Source organism: Homo sapiens, chromosome 7 (assembly GCF_000001405.40).
Source record: "Homo sapiens chromosome 7, GRCh38.p14 Primary Assembly".
Taxonomy (NCBI): domain Eukaryota; kingdom Metazoa; phylum Chordata; class Mammalia; order Primates; family Hominidae; genus Homo; species Homo sapiens.
This window is the reverse complement of record NC_000007.14, coordinates 137,275,154-137,295,349: the sequence shown is the minus strand read 5'-3', so window position 1 is coordinate 137,295,349 and position 20,196 is coordinate 137,275,154. Positions and strand designations below refer to the sequence as shown.

General features: G+C 36.9%; 1 protein-coding gene and 1 non-coding gene across 3 annotated transcripts in view; one reads left to right on the top strand and one right to left on the bottom strand.

Moving 5' to 3' along the window:
- The window catches only part of PTN (pleiotrophin), a 116,393-nt gene that overhangs the window by 48,384 nt on the left and 47,813 nt on the right, over positions 1-20,196 (top strand). The gene's annotated exons all lie outside the window — the stretch shown is intronic.
- On the bottom strand, positions 7,588-7,663 carry LOC124900235 (small nucleolar RNA SNORD81). The gene has a single exon (XR_007060650.1). It is a non-coding gene; the product is annotated as a small nucleolar RNA SNORD81 (small nucleolar RNA).

Sequence of the window (20,196 nt, the reverse complement as noted above, 5' to 3'; positions counted from 1 at the left end):
GCTTTGAGAATATCAGATATATAATCAAAATATTCATATGAAAGTCCAAGCAATAAAAAAGAACATTTTGAATAATATCTACTATACTTCAAGCTCCACAGAGGCCAGGACTGAGCCTGTGCTATTCATTGTTCTATGTGTAATGACTGATTGAATGAATAAGTATATTTGAGATATTTTTACATTCTTTTTCTGTTCATAGAGTCTCTAAAATCTGATGTGTATTTCACACTTATAGTACATTTCCGGTCTGACTACTTACATTTCATGGGCTTAATAGCCACAAGTGGCTAGTGACTACTGTGTTAGACAGGAGAGATCTAGATTGTTGGGATACAAGATTGACTCTGTCATCAACATAAGTCACCAGATGGGTGACCCAGGGCAAGTTATTTTATTTCTTTTTTATTGTTTGCCAAACTCTCTGAAAGCATGAGTTCTAACTTAAAATTCTGTGAGCCACTTTATATAAAAAAAGAAAAGCAAAACAGCAGTGATATCTGACACCCATATCTAATCCCACACCCACTTAAGACAGCCATCTTTATTACTATTTCAAATAATTTGGCTAATGGAAATGGCGTACATCTTTATTTGCCTTCCACGTATTTCTCCAAATGTACAAATACACATGCCACAAGGATACGTAGCTAGAAGCACTGAGGGGAGTTCAAGACACAATATATACTGGGCTTTTCAGTAACTGCAACTTGGCCTGTTTTCTGGTGGCTGAGGTGGATGGCAGAGAAACTTGCTAACAGGCCAGACTCTCTTGGTGGGGCATGGGATGGCCTGGTAGGGAGTAGGTGATTCTAATTTGGCTTCAGACTAGATACTTGACTGCCAAGCAAAGCAGACAGAGTCTAAATTTTAAAAGGAAACTTACATGTCAGGACCAAGGCTATTGTCCATCATGATGCAAATTGTGCTCTGCACAAGGCTGCCCAAGCCAGAGAGAGAGTCGGGAGAACTTCTCTGTATGATGCCCAGTGTACTCCTGTGTGGGCTTGTGTTCACCTGGAGGAAGAGGTGCCTTCTGAAATTTTGTTCAAGGGCACTTCATGGGCCATCACCAGCCCTACTAAGGACCTAAGCAGACTGTATTCAACACCCGAGCTATGGCTAGAATGAAGAACTCCCCATCCAGCTAAGCTGCAAAAAAATAACAACAACAATAATAAAAAGAAATCAGCTCGCAACTAAGGTCTAAAATATGGAAGGCTTTATGTATCTAAATTTTTGCCTAAATGAGTATTATTCCTTTCTAGGAAGTAAAATAAAAGGGGACAAAGAGAAACTCTGTAAATACATGTGTAAGAACAGACTCAAGATATACTTGTAATACTCCATCAACATTTTTTGCTTGCATGATATATCAAAACATTTTTTCCTTCAATTTTAAATAATTCCATTTAAAAAGGGAGGTCATAGCACAGACAGTCTTTAGGGCAGTGGAACATCTCTGTATGAGGCTATAATGGTGGATACATTCTACATTTGTCCAAATCCATAGAATGTACGACACCAAGAATGAACCCTAATGTAAATATGGACTTTGAGTGATGACATGTCAACGAAAGTTCATTAATTATAACATATGTACCACTCTGGTGGGAGATGCTGATCACGGGGGAGGTTATGCATGTGCGGCGGCAGGGAGTATACAGGAAATCTCTATTTCCCACTCTGTTTTGCAGTGAACCTAAAACTGTGCTAGAAATACAGTCTATTTTTAAAAAAAGTAAAGTCAGGACATGAGTTTGCCATCTTTATGATGCTGAGTATGGTAGAATCATCCACAGCTTCACATTCCAAGATAAAATATTTCTGTCTTCCTCAGCACCCTGCACAAGTAACTCCACTCTAATTACTAGCATTTCAAGTATGCTAGCCCAGAAACTTTATCAATCACATGAGGAATAACTTCTAAAGGTATTTAGGGGTGTTTGCTTTTTAAATTCTTCCTCAGTATAGTTATACTGCTTGGGAGGTGGAAGGATGGCTACCCCTTATGCGCGCACACTAGCTTCAATCACCTGTGTCTCATCCCGTCAGTCAGGAAGTAGGAGGTAGTTTCACTCCATCTATTTATGGATTCTACCTTTTCTCTTTCATCTCTCAACTTCACTGTTGAGCAGTTTTAGGCCTAAGCCAATTCAGGTGTTCAGCTCCATCACAAGACCCAACTTATGTTAACCAATTTAGAAGACCAGGAGTGGTTTGAGGAAAGGAAAGCCTTGTGGCTTATTACATTTTGATAAGAATGCAAAATGGTAAGTGTCATGAGATGGCAACTATGTAAAAATGAATGAATATGCATGTGGGTAAAGGATAGAAGGTAATTAGAAATTAAAAATTCTGATAGAGTGTTAGGACTAAAGATTCAGTTATTTTCTTTTTCAAGTTTCTAAAATACTGTGTTATTTCACATTTTGATTACTTTTTTTTCCTTTTGGAAAACGACCTCACCAACATGCCAAAACTCACCCACCCACTTGACCCTAAATGGAATACAGTCAGCCCTCCTTTTCTGTGCGTCCCACATGTGTGGATTCAGCCAAACCTGAATTGAAAATATTCAGGAGAGAAAAACAGATGGTTGCATCTGTACTGAACATGTACAGACTTTTGTTCTTGTCATTATTCCCTAAACAATACAGTATAGCAGCCATTTACATGGCATTCACATTGTATGAGGCATTTGTATTAGTCTGTTCTCATGCTGCTAATAAAGACTTACCTGAGACTGGGTAATTTATAAAGGAAAGAGGTTTAATGGACTCACAGTTCCACATGGCTGGAGAGGCCTCACAATTATGGCAGAAGACGAAGGAAGAGCAAAGGGACGTCTTACATGGTGGCAGGCAAGAGGGTGTATTCAGGGGAACTCTCCTTTATAAAACTATCAGATCTCATGAGACTTATTCACTACCATGAGAACAGTACAGGAAAAACCCTTCCCCATGATTCACTTACCTCCCACCAGGTCCCTCCCGTGACATGGGAATTACTACAATTCAAGGTGAGATTTGTGTGGGGACACAGAGCCAAATCCTATCAGTATTATAAATAATCTAGAAATGATTAAAGTATGCAGATGATGTGTGTGGGTTATATGCAAATACTACACTGGTTTATATCAGGGACTTGAACATTCATGGATTTTGGTTTCCACAGGGCTCCTGGAACCAATCCCCCACCAATGACAAGGTATGACCATATTTTACATCAGTGGCAATGAACATAAAGTGGCAAAATTCATGTGCATTTTTATTGGTTCAGGGCAGGCAAAGACTGACGGTTTCTCATACTTTATCAGAATCCTAGTTTTATTCTGCAGACACAAGGGAACACAGAGACTGAATGCCATTGGGTTATTAGAGGAGGATGCCAAAGGATCTAATTCCAATAAAGGTGAGTGGTTGAAACCCTAGCCAAGTTACATCTACTTCTCAAGTATGTCAAAAGAACCCGCAGTCATTCAAATTTCACTGCCTCTGGCTAGAAATTTATGTTTCAGCAATTCAGATGGGACACTCAATTCAGAGTATGGCATTTTCATAGTATATGAAGGAGAAAGTAAAGTAAGACAATTTCCCTTAACTTACTTCAGTAGGAGCTTTGAAAAAATGGAGTCAGCGCTTACGTCAGAGGACATAAGTGTTGCCTCAGGCTCACTTGGGTACTCTGAGTGTCTGACCACATCTGGGATGCCGTTGGGGATGTCAACTGGCACTTGATACTCAAGTCAAAACTGGTGGTCAAGGACAATGAGAGACCCGTAGGCAGCGGTCAGTAAAGCTGTAGATGCCCAACCTGTGAGGTACAGGTGCCCAGCTGCCTTCATGTGAACAAAGAGTGATTTGATGAAGATGTGAGCCTTGCTCTACATTTAATTCTCAACTTTCATAAAGACTCTTGGATGTTTAATAATAATAATGTTGCTTTGATACAACTAGACTGAGGCACAGTTTCAATCAAATTATTTTGTGAAATGAAAATGGCTTTAGTGCCATTTTTCTGATAATAAACATGTAGTATAAAATATAGCATTTATAAAATGTAGAAAATTTTGAAAAGTAATTTTTAAATGCCCCACATTCCACAGGTAACTTCTTTCAAAAAATGGGCATATTGCATATGTGTGCATGTGTGTGAATGTGTATGTACACTTATGTACTTTTTTTAAACAAATGGCTTTGTAGTATACAGACAGAATAAACAACTTCTCATGGGAATAAATATATATCACAATTTTTGTGCATAGCTATAACTCAGATTTTATAGATTTATTTAATGATCCCATATTGGTTATTGACAATTTTTCATCATTCAGCTTCAATCATTTTGAAACCATAGTTCAAACTTTTACAAACCCAGTTTGAATATTGCTTAAAAAATACCTTTCAAATGTTCCACGTTGTGTGATGAAGAGAAATGGTTGATGTGGGTGAAAAAACACTTATTTCAAGTAAAAATATATGTTGTTTTTATTTTTTTTTAATTGGAAGAGAATAGGAAAGGGGAACATAACCCCATGTTTTGCTGAAACATTTTAAGTCAGCCCTGAAAATAAAATGTGGTTTTAAGGGAAGTCAAAAGCCCTTGAATGTCATCTACTGGCCACCCCAGCTCACCTCCAAATTCTTGAAGTTGGTTTTGAGTCAGTCACTTGTCCTATGTATTTATTTCTTGCACTATAAGAAGAGATAATAATAATAATTTGTCTACTCAACTTGGTTATAATAAGGTCCAGGTGATATAATGAATGTGGTAATACATTGGACACTCTAAAGCATTACTTACATATTATTAATATAACCATTATTTATTTATAATTCCATATGATCAGATGACCAGAGGAATTTGATGAACCTACTACTATTGATATTTTCTTGCAAATGTGTTTGTAGGAAATTGATTATATTTTTTACAGATAAAGCAAGCTCGTTTTCAAGTTAACCAGAAATACCCATTAAAGTCTTAATCACAGGTTAACCCTTGTTTCCTAAAAGTATTTAGAACACCATTTGTTTTTATTGCAATATGATACAGTTTGGCTGTGTCCCCACCAAAATCTCATCTTGAATTCCCACATGTTGCGGGAGGGACCTGGTGGGAGGTAATTCAATCATGGGGGCAGGTCTTTCCCATGCTGTTCTCATGATAGTGAATAAGCCTGAGATCTGACAGTTTTAAAAGGGGGAGTTTCCCTGTAGGAGCTCTCTCTTTTTGGCTGCTGCCATCCATGTAAGACGTGACTTGCTCCTCCTTGCCTTCCACCATGATGATGAGGCTTCCCCAGCCATGTGGAACTGTAAGTCCAATTAAACCTCTTTGTTTTGTAAATTGCCTGGTCTCCAGTATGTCTTTATCAGCAGCATGAAAATGGACTAATACACCATATAACAAATTACTATAAATGTAATGACTTAAAACGATTCTTATGATTAACGCACAGTTATGTAAATCAGAAGTTCAGGTATGATGTGATTGAGTTCTCTGCTCAGGGTCTTGAAACTGAAATCAAGATGGTGGTTGAACTGTGCTTCTTTCTGGAAATTTTGGGGAACAGCAAACTTACAAGCTGATTCAGATCATCAGCCATATTTAGTTTGTTGCAGTTGCAGGAATGAGGTACCTCTTTCCTTGCTGTCAGCTGTGGGCCACTTAGCTCATAGAGACCATCCTTGCCACGTGATCCCTCCATCTCAAAGCCAGTAGAATTTCCTTGGGCCAGCTCCCTCTCACACTTGAAATTTCTGACTTTCTCCGTCTCTGACCACAAGACTCAGATTTAATGGCCTCATGTAATTAGGTCAGGGCCACCTAGATAATATCCCTATTTTAAGGTTGACTGATTTGGAACCTTAATGTCATCTGTGAAATCCCTTTACAGCAACACTTGGATTCGTGGTTGCTCGATCGATAAGAGAAGTCGTGTGTTCTTGGGAGTATCTTTTAATTCTGCCTAACACACACCTGAAAGCCAAAGTTCTCTTCCAATGATTCACAGGACTGCTCTTTCCCTTTGATAAAAAAGAAACCCTCCAGTGTAAAGTCATTTGAAAGATAAAGTGCTAGGGTGCTGAGAGATCACATTTCAATACCAAGGCTCTAATTTCATGACAATAGCTATGTTCCCTTCTTTTATCAATCTTGAGAATATGTTTAGAGTCAAATATACCAAGTTTGATTCTTGCTTTTACCACTTCTCCTGAGTTGAGTGACATGCTGAACCTCTTTGATTCTCTTTTCGATCTGTAAATGGTAATAATACTACCTACTTCGCAAGGTGATTGCGATGATTAAATAAGACTATGTGTGCATATAAACACATCTTACCATAGCACCTGCATATAAGTGCAAAATAAATAGTAATCTTAACATTATTTCAGTAGGGAGGTTTATATTATTATTCAGTGTGGAGGCTTTTGTTATTATCTGATTTGAAGTATTCTCTTGGCGTTTTAAAATTAAATCCACCATCCAGCAGAAGGTATGATTTTGCCCCTGTTGTACTTTTACTGAAAGTCTTTTCCCCTAATAATATCATTATTAATGAATACGTTATGTATAACTTTAGTTTTCTTGAGGAATAATAGGTCTAAAGTTTTCAAACTTCAGATAAAAGGTTTCTTCCCCCCAAATAAATGTTTATTTCCATCTCTACACTTGATCTTAGCCAAAAGGCTGAGAAGCAATTTTTTTCTTTCCATCTCTATGCAAATATTTATTCTTTGATTTTAAGGTCCCAATGCTAAATTTAAAAAATACATTTAGCTTTAGATAAAATTCAGTAAATACATCTGATGATAAAAATCTGTGCTGTTTTCATTGGAGGCCCCTGGAATGTAGTCAGATATCCTTTAAAGCATAAATAATAATTACAAATCACATTTAACATATTAGAAAACTGGGTGGGCAAGGTGTGTTTCACGTCTCCTGAGAACTGAGGGACAAAATTGAGATGAAAACGAGGCAGAGCTCCTGAGTTCCTCTCATTATTTTAGCAAATGTTTGGCCAGGAAAATGAGGCAGTATAACCAATTCATAACTTTGTTGTATCATAAAATTTCTGAACGCCAATATGTCCAAATAATTAACTCATCTGAGCAAATTATTTGGGGCAACAGCTTGTTTATTAAACAATTCATTTATTAAGACTCACTTTGAGACCTTCATCTCACTAAACTATTATAATATGAACTTTGCTGAATCCTAATCAATTCTCTGCTTTGAAAGATTCAACTTATACCACTTGAGACCTGACCCCAAAACCCTGGAAATATCCTCTTTTACGTATTCCTTCTGAGACACTAAGATGTAGTCAAGGTTATCCTCTTTGCTGCTGCGGTAGGTTTAATAAAATTAGCTTTGCTTAGTCAATAGATTTTTCTGGTTGGTTTTCTAGGGGAACTCAAGTGTTGAAAGTGATTATCATATATATCTTTTATAATCTGGAAAAAACATTACTAAAGAAAATAAGTCATCTAATAGCGCCCCCCCTGGCTTCAGAATGAACTGTACTATAGACATTTTGGAGCACATACAATGTAAGCCCTTTTTTTCTTTATTCTTTCTTGACACAATATCAGATCTTTTATTGTCATCAAGTGATCAGTGAGAGAGTTCAAACTGAGGTGAGATCATCATGTATTTGTAAGACTTTTAATTATATGGAACATTTTGTCATATTGAATATAGGCACTGTCACACGTTCATGAAAACCTTCAAGTTTTAGTTTAGGCTCTTTATGGATGAGGGTCATATAGTATATTTTATATGTCCACAGAATCTTGTATATAACAGAATTAAACAAATTCTGGTTGTTGGATTAGGAGTTTAAGGACCAATTTAAGGTCACTCCCTTTTTACAATTCTCTGAAAAAAAAAATGCATATTTTGTCTTACTTATTTCACATCCTGGGTGACCCTAAGCAGAAAGGAACTCCATGTCATACCAACAATAGCCGACAAGCTTTAAATACACATAGTGATCAGGTTTGGGCCACTTAAATTACTTTTTACAAGTCCTCTGGAAATAGAAGTTATTTGAAAGAAGCACTATAAGTAGAGGTGACAGCAAATTGTTCATAAATTGTGCATGTGAAATGCCAAAGGAGGCAGCAGAAACATTTTTACTAACCAAACAGCACATATCACATCATCTGGGGGAACAAGCCTCGTTTATTCAATGTGCTGCTTTGTAAACATAGCACAGAGATTTCAGTCTATGAAATGGGATAGCTGATGATTACGTTCATGAAACACGAATGAGGGTTTTTACATAATAAATAGAATAATTAGGACTCAAATCAAGTTAAGTTCTTATCTGGCTTTGGTATTAACTATCTGTGTGGTTGGGAGTAAGTTATGCAATCTATTAAATCTTCAATTTTATAGTCTATTAACTGCAAATTAACAATGCCTGCCATGTTTATCTCACAGTGATTTTGTAGAATTGAGCACGATAGAATCATAGCAGTTGGGGGCTGAAAATTAGTTAAGGCTTATTTAGTCCAACTAAGTATGGAAACATGCTTTGAAGAAGAAAGTTTAGTACCATATATATGGTAACTTCTGCTTTTTAACTCATTCTGAAACTATTCTTCCAAATATTTATGTATTCTCCCAATTGAGGTGCTTATCTCTATATGTGCTTCACTCAGCCTGGTACCTGGGATTTATTATGCATTCACACTATAAATTTGTTCAGTCTAAATGAATAATTAAGTAAAAAAGAAATTATTTATCTTCGATGGACAGACTGGCTCACTTTTCTCCTGTTTTACTTTTATATGTGTTAATTTGGTTTACATATTCGTAAGTTGGATATGATGTTCTTATTCTACCCCTCTGGATATTATGATAATTGAGGTGAAAATAGGAATTGATCATAAGAAAGATCCCTTGCTGGAAGCTGGTAACATGAGTTGCTATTGAGATTTTCAGTGTAATGAAACAGTAGGCCAGAGGGAGCAAGTAACCATAAGTAGTGGGGTTTGTTTAGAGAGCTAAGGGTTCATGCCTTTAGGTACTAATTTTTCCAACTATCAAACCTTGTAGGTATAGTCTTATAAAAGGTACTGCAATACTTTCCCATATTGCTGATTACATAATGCCTTATAAATATACCTCAATGACTTTATCTATCTTAATTAATATCAGTATTGTGAAGTCTGTGGGTGCTTCTATTAGGGTAAACTGAGTTATTGGGGGTTATTTGACTCCACCCTAAATGACTCTAAACTAGGTGCATATGAGTTTTAAAAAATAATTTCCCCATGTTTTCTTTTATTTTGATTGGATACCAATATACTTGGCTGTAGCATTTATTTTCCTTCCTTCTATTTCCTACGTATGTGAAAACCAGATAACCAAGACTGTAGAATATACATAAAATTCAAAAGATAGTGATTGATATTCTAAGAGTATCAGCCACATGCTATTGTTTCATTGGGTTTGGCTGGTCAGTCTTTTAAAATTTACTCACTTATTCACCATTTGCCATGTGCCTAGGCACTTTACTGGAGACGGGTAGAAAGATGATATAGGACACATATTTCTAGATACATGAAGTTGCTGGATTTACACTCCAATTAAACAAAGATGTTATTATATGGTCTAAAGGAAATACTGTGATGTAGGTTAGCAACTACTTTATTTTTTTTATTTTTGAGGTGGAGTCTCACTCTGTTGCCTAGGCTGGAGTGCAATGGTGCTGTCTCGGTTCACTGCAACCTCCACCTCCCAGGTTCAAGTGATTCTCCTGCCTCAGCCTCTTGAGTAGCTGGGACTGACTACAGGCACACGCCACCATGTCTGGCTAATTTTTGTATTTTTAGTAGAGACGGGGTTTTACCGTGTTGGCCAGGCTGGTCTCGAACTCCTGATCTCAGGTGATCCGCCCACCTTGGCCTCTCAAAGTGCTGGGATTACAGGCGTGGTCTACCGCCCCTGGCCTAGGTTAGCAACTACTTTAAATTCAGTTAAAATTTGCAACTGCAAGGTAATAGTCTCTAATCTATTTGAGTGTTAGTTCCGGCTTCATAGTCACATCAGGTACATTATATTATAATCAGGGTTAATTCTGTATCCTATTATCTATGCATGAGTTGCTAGGAATTCAACCTCATTTCTCACTGAGAAAAATTAAATGAAATTTAGTGTATAGAATCCAGCTCAATATAAGGAAGAACTTTCTACCAATTTGAGCTTCTCCAAAATGGAATGTACTGATTTGCTCATTAGCTTTGCTTTTTTATGTATACTTACCATTTATATATATATATTAAACTTGTAGTCAGGTAATACCTTCAGTGTATCCTATGAACCAATGTGAAACAAATTACCTTCTAATATTTATTTAAGTTGTTGACTTAAATGTATTCAAATGCAGGATTTGAAAGTTATTCTCAGATGTTAATTTATTTCAAGTCAGTATTTACTTCATTGAGAATATAGTTAATATTGATTCGCTCACCAATGTAATTCCACATTTATTCCAATTTTGTGTTCCTGCTTGAACTAGAATCCTTTTGATGTTTTTATTCTAATTATTAAGTCTTTACGGAACAGGTGAAGGAGGGAATCTTCTGTCAACTTCTTGTAGCCACCTCTCCAAGTTGACTTCTCCAGAATGTAGTCATCTAACAGTGTATGTACCTCATAATATTATTGTCTAAGGAAAACACCATTATCTTAGTGGTATATTTTCAGGGTATTTGTCAAATAATTTCCTGAAACCAAGATACTCTATGGCAATAAAATCACTATTATTAACCACTTTCTCAGAGAACTAAATGAGGTTTATTTGGCATGACCAAGCCATTTTGATCTTTTAGTTACTCTTTGATAAATTTCCATGGTAGTTTTAGCCTTTAGGCTAATTATTTCTGAGAGAGAGAGAGGTCAGTGAGTGGGAGCATTTGATGCTTCCAAGGAAAGAAAGTTAGAAAAAAAGAAAGAAAAATAAAAGACCTCTTCCTTTTTGACATGGTAACTGTGCAGAACTTCAGAAGACCGGGAAGGGTCTTCCTGAAGGGTCAGGAAGCAATCAATTCGTACATACCATTATAAAATATGATGCTCGGCCCGGCGCGGTGGCTCACGCTTGTAATCCCAGCACTTTGGGAGGCCGAGGCGGGCGGATCACGAGGTCGGGAGATCGAGACCACGGTGAAACCCTGTCTCTACTAAAAAATACAAAAAATTAGCCGGGAGTGGTGGCGGGCTTCTGTAGTCCCAGCTACTCGGAGAGGCTGAGGCAGGAGAATGGCGTCAACCCGGGAGGCGGAGCTTGCAGTGAGCCGAGATCTCGCCACTGCACTCCAGCCTGGGCGACAGAGACTCTATCTCAAAAAAAAAAAAAAAAAAAAAAAAAAAAAAAAAAAATCTGATGCTCATTTTCACATTCATTTTATCAACACTGCATGCATTAAATCATTAGGTAGAAGGAGATTGAGTAGGACTATGTGTATGAGGGAGGAGGATGGTGAAAATGAGGTCCAAATGACCTTGTTAGAAGGAAAGAAAAGTGGGCTTTTAGAGGATACAGTGAGTGATCAGAATCACCGTCCCTGATTTTAGCATTTCTAATTTCTAATAAGTCACATTTCTTTCCTTCTTTTGGCATATTTTTTAGTAGCAAATATTTCACCATTGCGAAAAGTATGGTGAAGAATGCAAATAATGTAGCAGAGTGGATGGGGGTGGGTATCCTTATCAAACTATAAGGCCACTTGAAGTTTTAAACTAACCTCATGTAATGTTCTAGTTTTGGAAGATGTCACTAGGTCTCTAATGAAGTAAGTTTGCCAGGCTTCTAACAAGATTTTTCTCTTTCCCAAAGCAACACTCTGAATAATCAATGAAGCCTTTCCTTGATTTCTTTTCTCGTTTTTTCCTTTTTTTCAGTTCTTCTTTATTTTTTTAGTCAATGAGCTCAGCCCTAAATGAAAGCTGGAGTTGTATGAACTGAATCGGCTGGAAATAGTAGCTGAAAGGCGTGCAAATCAAAGCTGGCAAGTTCAGCTCTTCCGTTCTTGAAGGAGTAGCTAACTTCAATCCAAATGGCTTCCTGGGCAATTGTTCGATTATTCTAGGGTTTTGTTCCTCGTATGGAACCAGGCATTAATAACCTATTTTTTTGCCAGCTAAACCAAGAAAATACACATCTCATCTTTACCTTGCTGTGCCTTAGTACCCATGTGGACACTTCCTAGCAGTGTGGGAACCTTGTGGGATGGGATTTTACATCATTTGTGGAGTGGAGGTGGGAGTGGAGGGGGTAGCCTTCAGGCTCTTTGATATTTCCTGCTCCACTCTAGCCTAGCACACGACCTAAATTACAGACAGCGGAGAAACTAGGAGCTCTGGAAATCAAGTAGCCTCATCCTCATTCACTTTGGTACCTATGCTAAGGGCCAGGACTTCTAATATTTTTTGTGGGAGATACATATGTCTCCATACACACACATACAAACCTAGATTTTCTGGGGTAGAAATTATTTGCGATTTTGCTTTTGGAAATTATTTGCCTCCAACTAATTTATTTTTAGATCATCACTAAGTATATTGAAAAATCCTTGCAAAGAGAGAAAATCTAATCTAAAGATGACTTTTAAATACAGCAAACTTTCTGATTGTTAAATGTCATACTTTATTAATGTAATGCTTTGTTGTGTACCCATTTTTAATCACATTATTAATTCAACTGTTGGTATTTTCTTGTTTTAGTTACATCATTTTTTTTCTTTATATCTCAAATATTTTTAATGGCCTCCAAAAAGCCTAAGGTGCTGGCTGCTCTGACTATCATGGCTGTTGGACATGATGAGGGAGCAAGTTCCTGACTCTCTGTTCTGCTTCTCTGCTACTGCTTGTACACCTACCTCCTCATTTTCTAGTTCAGAATAATAAAGTATCAGTCATCTATTTAAAAATAATAAAGTCATCTATTTGTATAAGATTATGCTACAATATTAAAAACTCTCTGGATATATTGTATACACACATTAGCTAAGAAACAGGACCTTACTGTCATGGTATGCAGTTCATTCTGTTGAGGTCTTACATAGCTCATACTTTTGTAAGAATACATAGCTTCTCTAAAAACAAAAGTGATAGCTCTCTTCTACCACACAGTTAATGTTATGACAGGCAGAAAATTAAATACAGACTTTCTGAATGTTGTAATCACTGATATTTTCTATTCACATGAGCTTCTAGAACATTTAAAGCCAAATGCAGAGTAAGTCATTATAAATAGATTTGAGTACACACAGGTTTTATATTTTGACCTTACTGTTTAATTTTGTGATTGAGAGCACAGGTGTAGTTTGGTGTTAAGCAGGCCTGAGTTCAAACCCTGTTTCTAACACTTTGTAATCTTAGGCAGGTTACTTAAATTCTCTAACTCACATTTTCCTCACCTGTAAAACTGAAATAATATTGATTACTTTCTAAAGTTATTGTGAAAATAAAAGATATAAAGCTCTTAGCACAGGCAAAGTCTTTCATACATATTGGTTATTAAATGTTCCTATTCTTATTTCCCTTGGTCTTTATTTTTTTACTTTTAAATTGTTCTGGAGTGCATATATATCTTTAAAAGTGTCTTAAGCACTTATTTGAAGAAGTTGGGCTATAAATACATTAGCAAATAATTACCAAATGTTGAAATTTTTTATTGTTAAAGAAATTGTGGTTTAGAAGAGTTTCTCAAACTTTCATGTGCAGAAATAAGAGTTCAGCTGGGGATCTTAATCTCGTCAAAATGGAAATTCTCATTCAAAAGTGCTGGAGTAAGGCTTGAGAGTCTGCATTTCTAACAAGCACCTGGGTGAGGTCCACGCTACTGGCCCTGAGAGTAGCCTTGCACAGCAAGGGGTTCTGAGGAGAGGTGTAGGTATCATTCTTAGAGCTTTATAAAAGCACACAGTAGCTGGTTTTGTTCCTTGAACTCCTTGAATCATGAATGGAAGCAGTGAGATGGTCTCTTATTTCTTACTCTTTTATGAGTGAAAGCTTTATCACTTTAACCAAAATCTGAAAGAATCACATAGGATTCTATTTCTACGTTTTTTTTTTTTGAGTGATACCAGCCCCCTTATAGTTGGCACTTGGTCCCTTGACATTGGACAGTCTTTTCCTTTATATTCTATGAGCTCTTGAAGACTTTCATTAGGTCACGTGGCATATTTATTAGGCTGTTCTAACATAACTTGGCTGAATCACACAGGCTATCCAGTAGTCAAGAAATAGTCTCCAAACCAATGTTATCTTAAATGAATGATTATTTCTGAGACAGCTATGTGATATTTTAACTTCACAATTTCATTAAGACTCCTCTCATTAAGGTTATTAGTGGCTTTTTATTGCTAATTGCTAATCCCTATGGAGCACCTCTCTGAAGAATTTGGCCTTGGTCTTCATTCTTATTTTTTTGAAAATTTCCTTTTTTTTTTTTTTTTTGAGACAAAGTCTTGCTCTGTTGCCCAGGCTGGAGTGCAGTGGCACAATCTCGGCTCACTGCAGCCTCTGCCTCCCAGGTTTAACCAATTCTTGGGCCTCAGCCTCCCAAGTAGCTGGGATTACAGGCACGTGCCACCACACTCAGCTTTTTTTTTTTTTTTTTTTTTTTTTTGTATTTTTAGTAGAGACGGGGTTTTGCCATGTTGGCCAGACTGGTCTTGAGCTCCTGGCCTCAAGTGATCCACCTGCCTCGGCCTCCCAAATTGCTGGGATTACAGGCATGAGCCACCACGCACAGCCCCAGTTTGCATGGTTTCTGTTTGCTCTCTTTGCTTGTGTCTTATTACTCCTCTGGCTGCTACCCTTAAGTCCCCTAATTCACTTATATAACTAGAATTCTCGCCTCTTGCTTACTTCTTCAGTCCTTACTCTATGTCTTCTTATTCTATAGTCTCCTTGGGCAATACTAAATCCTCCTACTTACTCAAATATATTTTGACAATGCTTTAATTTCTATCTCCAGACTAGAGCTCTCTTCCAGAGCCATACCTACCAACTATTTCAACCCAGATGTCCTACTGGCATCTTAAATTAAATGTATCCAAACAGAACTTTACTACCTTTCCTTAACTTTACTTACTTACATAAGCCATAATTATTAATATTAAAAGTAGAGAGAGTAAAAGAATGTAAGTAATTAGATTTTCTAAGAATTAAATCACATTTAACATATGTCAGATGCTTAGACTATTTTCCTTAGTATAGCTCATAGCATGCATTACTTAGGGAGCCGTTTATGAACCCATATTCTGTATGTTGACAATTTATCTCTGGATTGAGGATCAGAAATCTGGGAGATATCCTAGATTTCTCCTTTCATCAAATATTCAATTAATTTGATAAGTCCAATAAGTTTATCTCCTAAAAAATTTAACTTATTTTCTTCTCAGCAACTTTTTTCAAAGTCACAGTTTAAGTCTGTAATGTTTGACCTGTACTATGTCAAGTGGCCCTCTGTCAGCCTTTCTGGCTTCAGCCTCATCAACCTCCACTCACTCTGCTTATTGCCTGCTGAGTGTTCTTTCAGAAATTCACATCTAATAATGGCCTTTCTTTGTTCAAAATTCTTCATGGATCCATATTTCTTAAAATATAGCGTCACTAAATTTTTTACGTAACCCTTGTATATGACAAGCAAGAAACATAAGCTTAGTCTTTTCTATCTCTATAGTTTATTTATTTCCAATTTTTCTCATGGATGCTCCAGCAATATTTAACTAATTGTTGACTTCTGAAATAGATCACACTTACTCAAATCTACATCTTTTCCTGAAGGTCCTTCCTCTTCTAACTTAATCTGCTATATTAGACTAAACTCAAAATTATGCTCCTCTGGAAGCTTTTCTGAAATTCTATGAACATACCTGGGTAATTATTAAATTCCAATTTAAAAGAAAATTTTAATACAGCAGTTTTCTAATTTTGGTGCATCTTAATTTCATCAGGAAATAATATTGAGTGTGATCAAATATTTTCCTCTAACTGATTAGATGACCATGCGATTTTTCTCCTTTATTTCAGTATTGTATTAAAGTGGCAAAATACATGGACATTCAATTGTTAAATCAACCTTGCATCCTAGAGTAAACATCACTAGCTATGATTTATTAGCTTTAGTTTTCTATTTGTTGGACTTGGTTTAATAATATTTTAAAAAGATTTTAATGTTTTTGTTTATTAGGATATTGGTATATAATTTCTTGTAATATGTTTTCAGGTTTTGGTATCAGGTCAGGTTCATTCATACTGACTTTTTTCTACTCATGTGAATTTCTCAGTTTGTTTTTAAATTTCAGATTATGATTCTGGATTGGTCCGTTTCTTTATTTTATTATTATTATTATTATTATTATTATTATTATTATTGTTCTGAGATGGAGTCTCACTTTGTCACCCAGGCTGGAGTGCAATGGTGTGATCTTGGCTCACTGCAACCTCTGCCTCCCGGGTTCACGCAATTCTCCTGCTTCTGCCTCCTGAGTAGCTGGGATTACAGGTGTGCGCCACCATGCCCGGCTAAGTTTTTGTAATTTTAGTAGAGATGGGGTGTCACCATGTTGGCTAGGTTGGTTTCAAGCTCCGACCTCAAGTGATCCACCTGCTTTGGCCTCCCAAAGTGCTGGGATTACAGGTGTGAGCCACCCTGCCCGGCCAAGTTAATCCTTGTATTTTGAAAGTTTGTTGTTTGCAAATCCATTTGGTATTGTTATGTTTTTCAGATCAATATAAGCCTCTCTAATTATAAAATAACCCTCTTTATTTTGTAAATTCTATTTTGAAGTCTAAATTGACTAATACTGTTAGAGCCACACGATCTTTCTCATGACTATTTCTGTGAAATAACTTCTCCCATCCTTTCAGTTTCAACCTTTTAGAAAATATATATATTTAAAATAGATCTCTTCTAGATAGCATACAATTGGGTCTTGCTTGTTTATCTAATTTGACAATCTGGCTTTTTGATTAGTAGTCATTTTTTTTTTTTTTTTTTTTTTTTTTTTTTTTGAGACGGAGTCTCGCTCTGTCGCCCAGGCTGGAGTGCAGTGGCGCGATCTCGGCTCACTGCAAGCTCCGCCTCCCGGGTTCACGCCATTCTCCTGCCTCAGCCTCCCGAGTAGCTGGGACTACAGGCGCCCGCTACCACGCCCGGCTAATTTTTTGTATTTTTAGTAGAGACGGGGTTTCACCGTGTTAGCCAGGATGGTCTCGATCTCCTGACCTCGTGATCCACCCGCCTCGGCCTCCCAAAGTGCTGGGATTACAGGCGTGAGCCACCGCGCCCGGCCCAGTAGTCATTTTTTAAAAAATGAATTTATGCTTAACATTTTAGTTTAGATCATGCAACATGCTGTTGCATCTATCTATCTATCTATCTATCTATCTATCTATCTATCTATCTATCTATCATCTCATCTATCTATCTATCTACATATATATTTTTTGGCTGGGCATGGTGGCTCATGCTTATAATCCAAGCACTTTGGGAGGCTTAGCCAGAAGGATCACTTGAACCCAGGAGTTTGAGACCAGCTTCAGCAGCATAGTGGTACCTTATCTATATGAAAAATAGAAAAATTAGCCAAGTGTGGTGACATGTGCCTGTAGTCCCAGCTACTTGAGAGGCTGAGGTAGGAGGATTGTTTGAACATGGGAGGTTAAGGCTGCAGTGAGCCATGATCACGCCACTGCACTCCATCCTGGGTGGCAGAGTGAGACCTTGTCTCAAAAAATTTTTTTTTCTTGCTTGGGATAACATTGTTTGACTATACTACAATTTATTCATCAATGTACCTGTTGATAGACATTTTGGTTATTACCATTTTTGGCTATTACAAATAAAGCAAGCTGCTATAAACATTTGTGTATGCCTTAGTGCAGACCTAAGTTTTCATTTTTCTTGGGAAAAGTGGCTGGGTTGTATGATAAGTGTATTTTAATATTCTTAAGGAAAGTCTAAAATGTGTTCAATAGTGGTTGCAATGATTTTATAGTCCTACCAGTAAAGTGTGAGAGTTAAAGTTCCACATTTTTGCCAACACTTGGTTTGGTCAGTCTGTGAATTTTGGTTAGTTGAGTGGGCTACATAGTGATATCATATTGAAGAGTTTTCCTAATAGCACTGGGCGTCTTTTCACATGCTCATTTGCCATCTGTGTGTCTTCTTTGATAAAGTGTCCAGTTTTTTTGCCCATGATTTTTATTAAGTGTTCTTATTACCATTGACTTGTAAATATTCTTTATGTGTTGTAGATAAAATTCATTTGACAGATACATATTTTGTAAACATATAGTTGTATAATTTATATATGTGTACTCACCTTGAATCCTGTAACCCATTACTAAACTCACTTATCAATTCTGGTAGTTTTTTTGAGTGATTCCATTGGATTGTAAATAGAATACTATTTCATTAAGGCTCTGATATTTCTAAGTATCAAACTGAGAAAACTGCTACAGCTTTTCAGACACAATCAAACTTTACTGAGTAAATATTTTTTGTGATTTTTTTTTTTCTGTTAAAAGCAATAATTGTGAAGCAAGTTCTCTGTGCACTGGTATACATCCTAGGAGAGGACTCTAAAGACTTCACCAATACCATGCACCAGTATTAGTTAACTTGCATGAGTCTGGTGAAACAAAACACTCACACAAGTGAAGCAAAGCAACTATATTACTCACAGACAGGCAGCAAGGGACAATAGAAGCCTGGAATCAATGGCAAGCCAGGTCCCCAACTTCATGAAAACTGCCCAAGGCAGGTGAAGTCTTGCGTACATGTGCCCCATATCACACTGCAGCTGAGGGGCCCTCAAAACCCATTTCACCCTGGTTTTATATCCAGGGGTAACCGGAATTTCCAAGCTAAAGCATTGCAGGACGTCCTCTTCTAAGAGGGATGAGAACAGAGCCTGGACTGTTCTAATAGTTTCTCTTTATCTCAGGATGCTGCATTCCCAGCACGTTCTGCAGTTGCCCTTGAACTACATTAGAGAAAGGAGGAAGAGCTGGGTCTCTAGGGTCATTCAGGGACTTGCCTTGCAATAATCAATTCCTTTTCTGGCACAAATTTAATAGTCTGTAACAGATCAATTAACAAATTTAGATCCGTCTTCAAAATTCTCACTTCCCAGATGGACTTTCATTAGGTGTTTGACCTTTGTATGACAGGTTTTTCTTTGAGTTGGGGCTTGATGCTGACCTGCGACATTTCTGCCTCACAAACATAACCAAGATCAGCCAAACAATAGTTATTTGTTACTTCCTCCCAAATACATAATAATGTGGGATGCCATTTGCTTAGTTGTATGGCAGTGAATTTGAAAACCTGCATGCTGTTTTGTTAATTATGTTTTTAATTGAGTCACTTCATCTGAACAAATAAAGCCACCAGTTATTAGAAATGCCATCTGAAGTCAGTAGCTAATAAAGCTATACTGAGTTGTTTCAGAAGTGTATCAAAATGTGGTAGAATCATGACAGAAATACCTTTTCATTTGAAGCTGAGATCTATACATTTTTAAATGTGGTTTCTTACTGAGTTAGGTTGAATGATTATGGATTTGTGTTTTTAGTCAACATGGGGCATTTATTTGCAACTTGCCAATACTAGAGAGTCTTGCCTTCAGAACCTAATTCAGTTTGCCAATACAATTTTTTTTTTTAAAAAAAGATTTACTGCCAAAAGTTGAGAAGTGTCCTTTTAATTTCCCACAAGAGATTTTGGCAAGAATATTATCATAAACACTTTGCTTTTAGTTACAGCATTTTTATGTCTCGCACAAAGATGTGGTATATAATCTTATTGGCTGAATCCTCTTAATGAGCCTGTAATCTTGTAGGGTTTCTAATATCACATGTAATTCCCATCTGTATCTCCCTCATAACTTGGGATATTATCTTTCATATAGTAGGTGGTCTACGAAATAGTTGCTGATACTAATGATAATTCTGGGGCTTCAGCTCATCTATACCATACTTTCTTCTTTTATTACTAAACTGACCTATATACTTCACACTGGTCTCTTGATTTCTCACCTGAAACTTTAGATTATTCTATTTCTTCCATTGGAAATGCTTTCCATTCTAGGTTTACTTATCAAAGTCTAAACCGTCTTAAAAGGCTGCATTATCACCCTCTGTGCAAAGCTGCCTCTGATG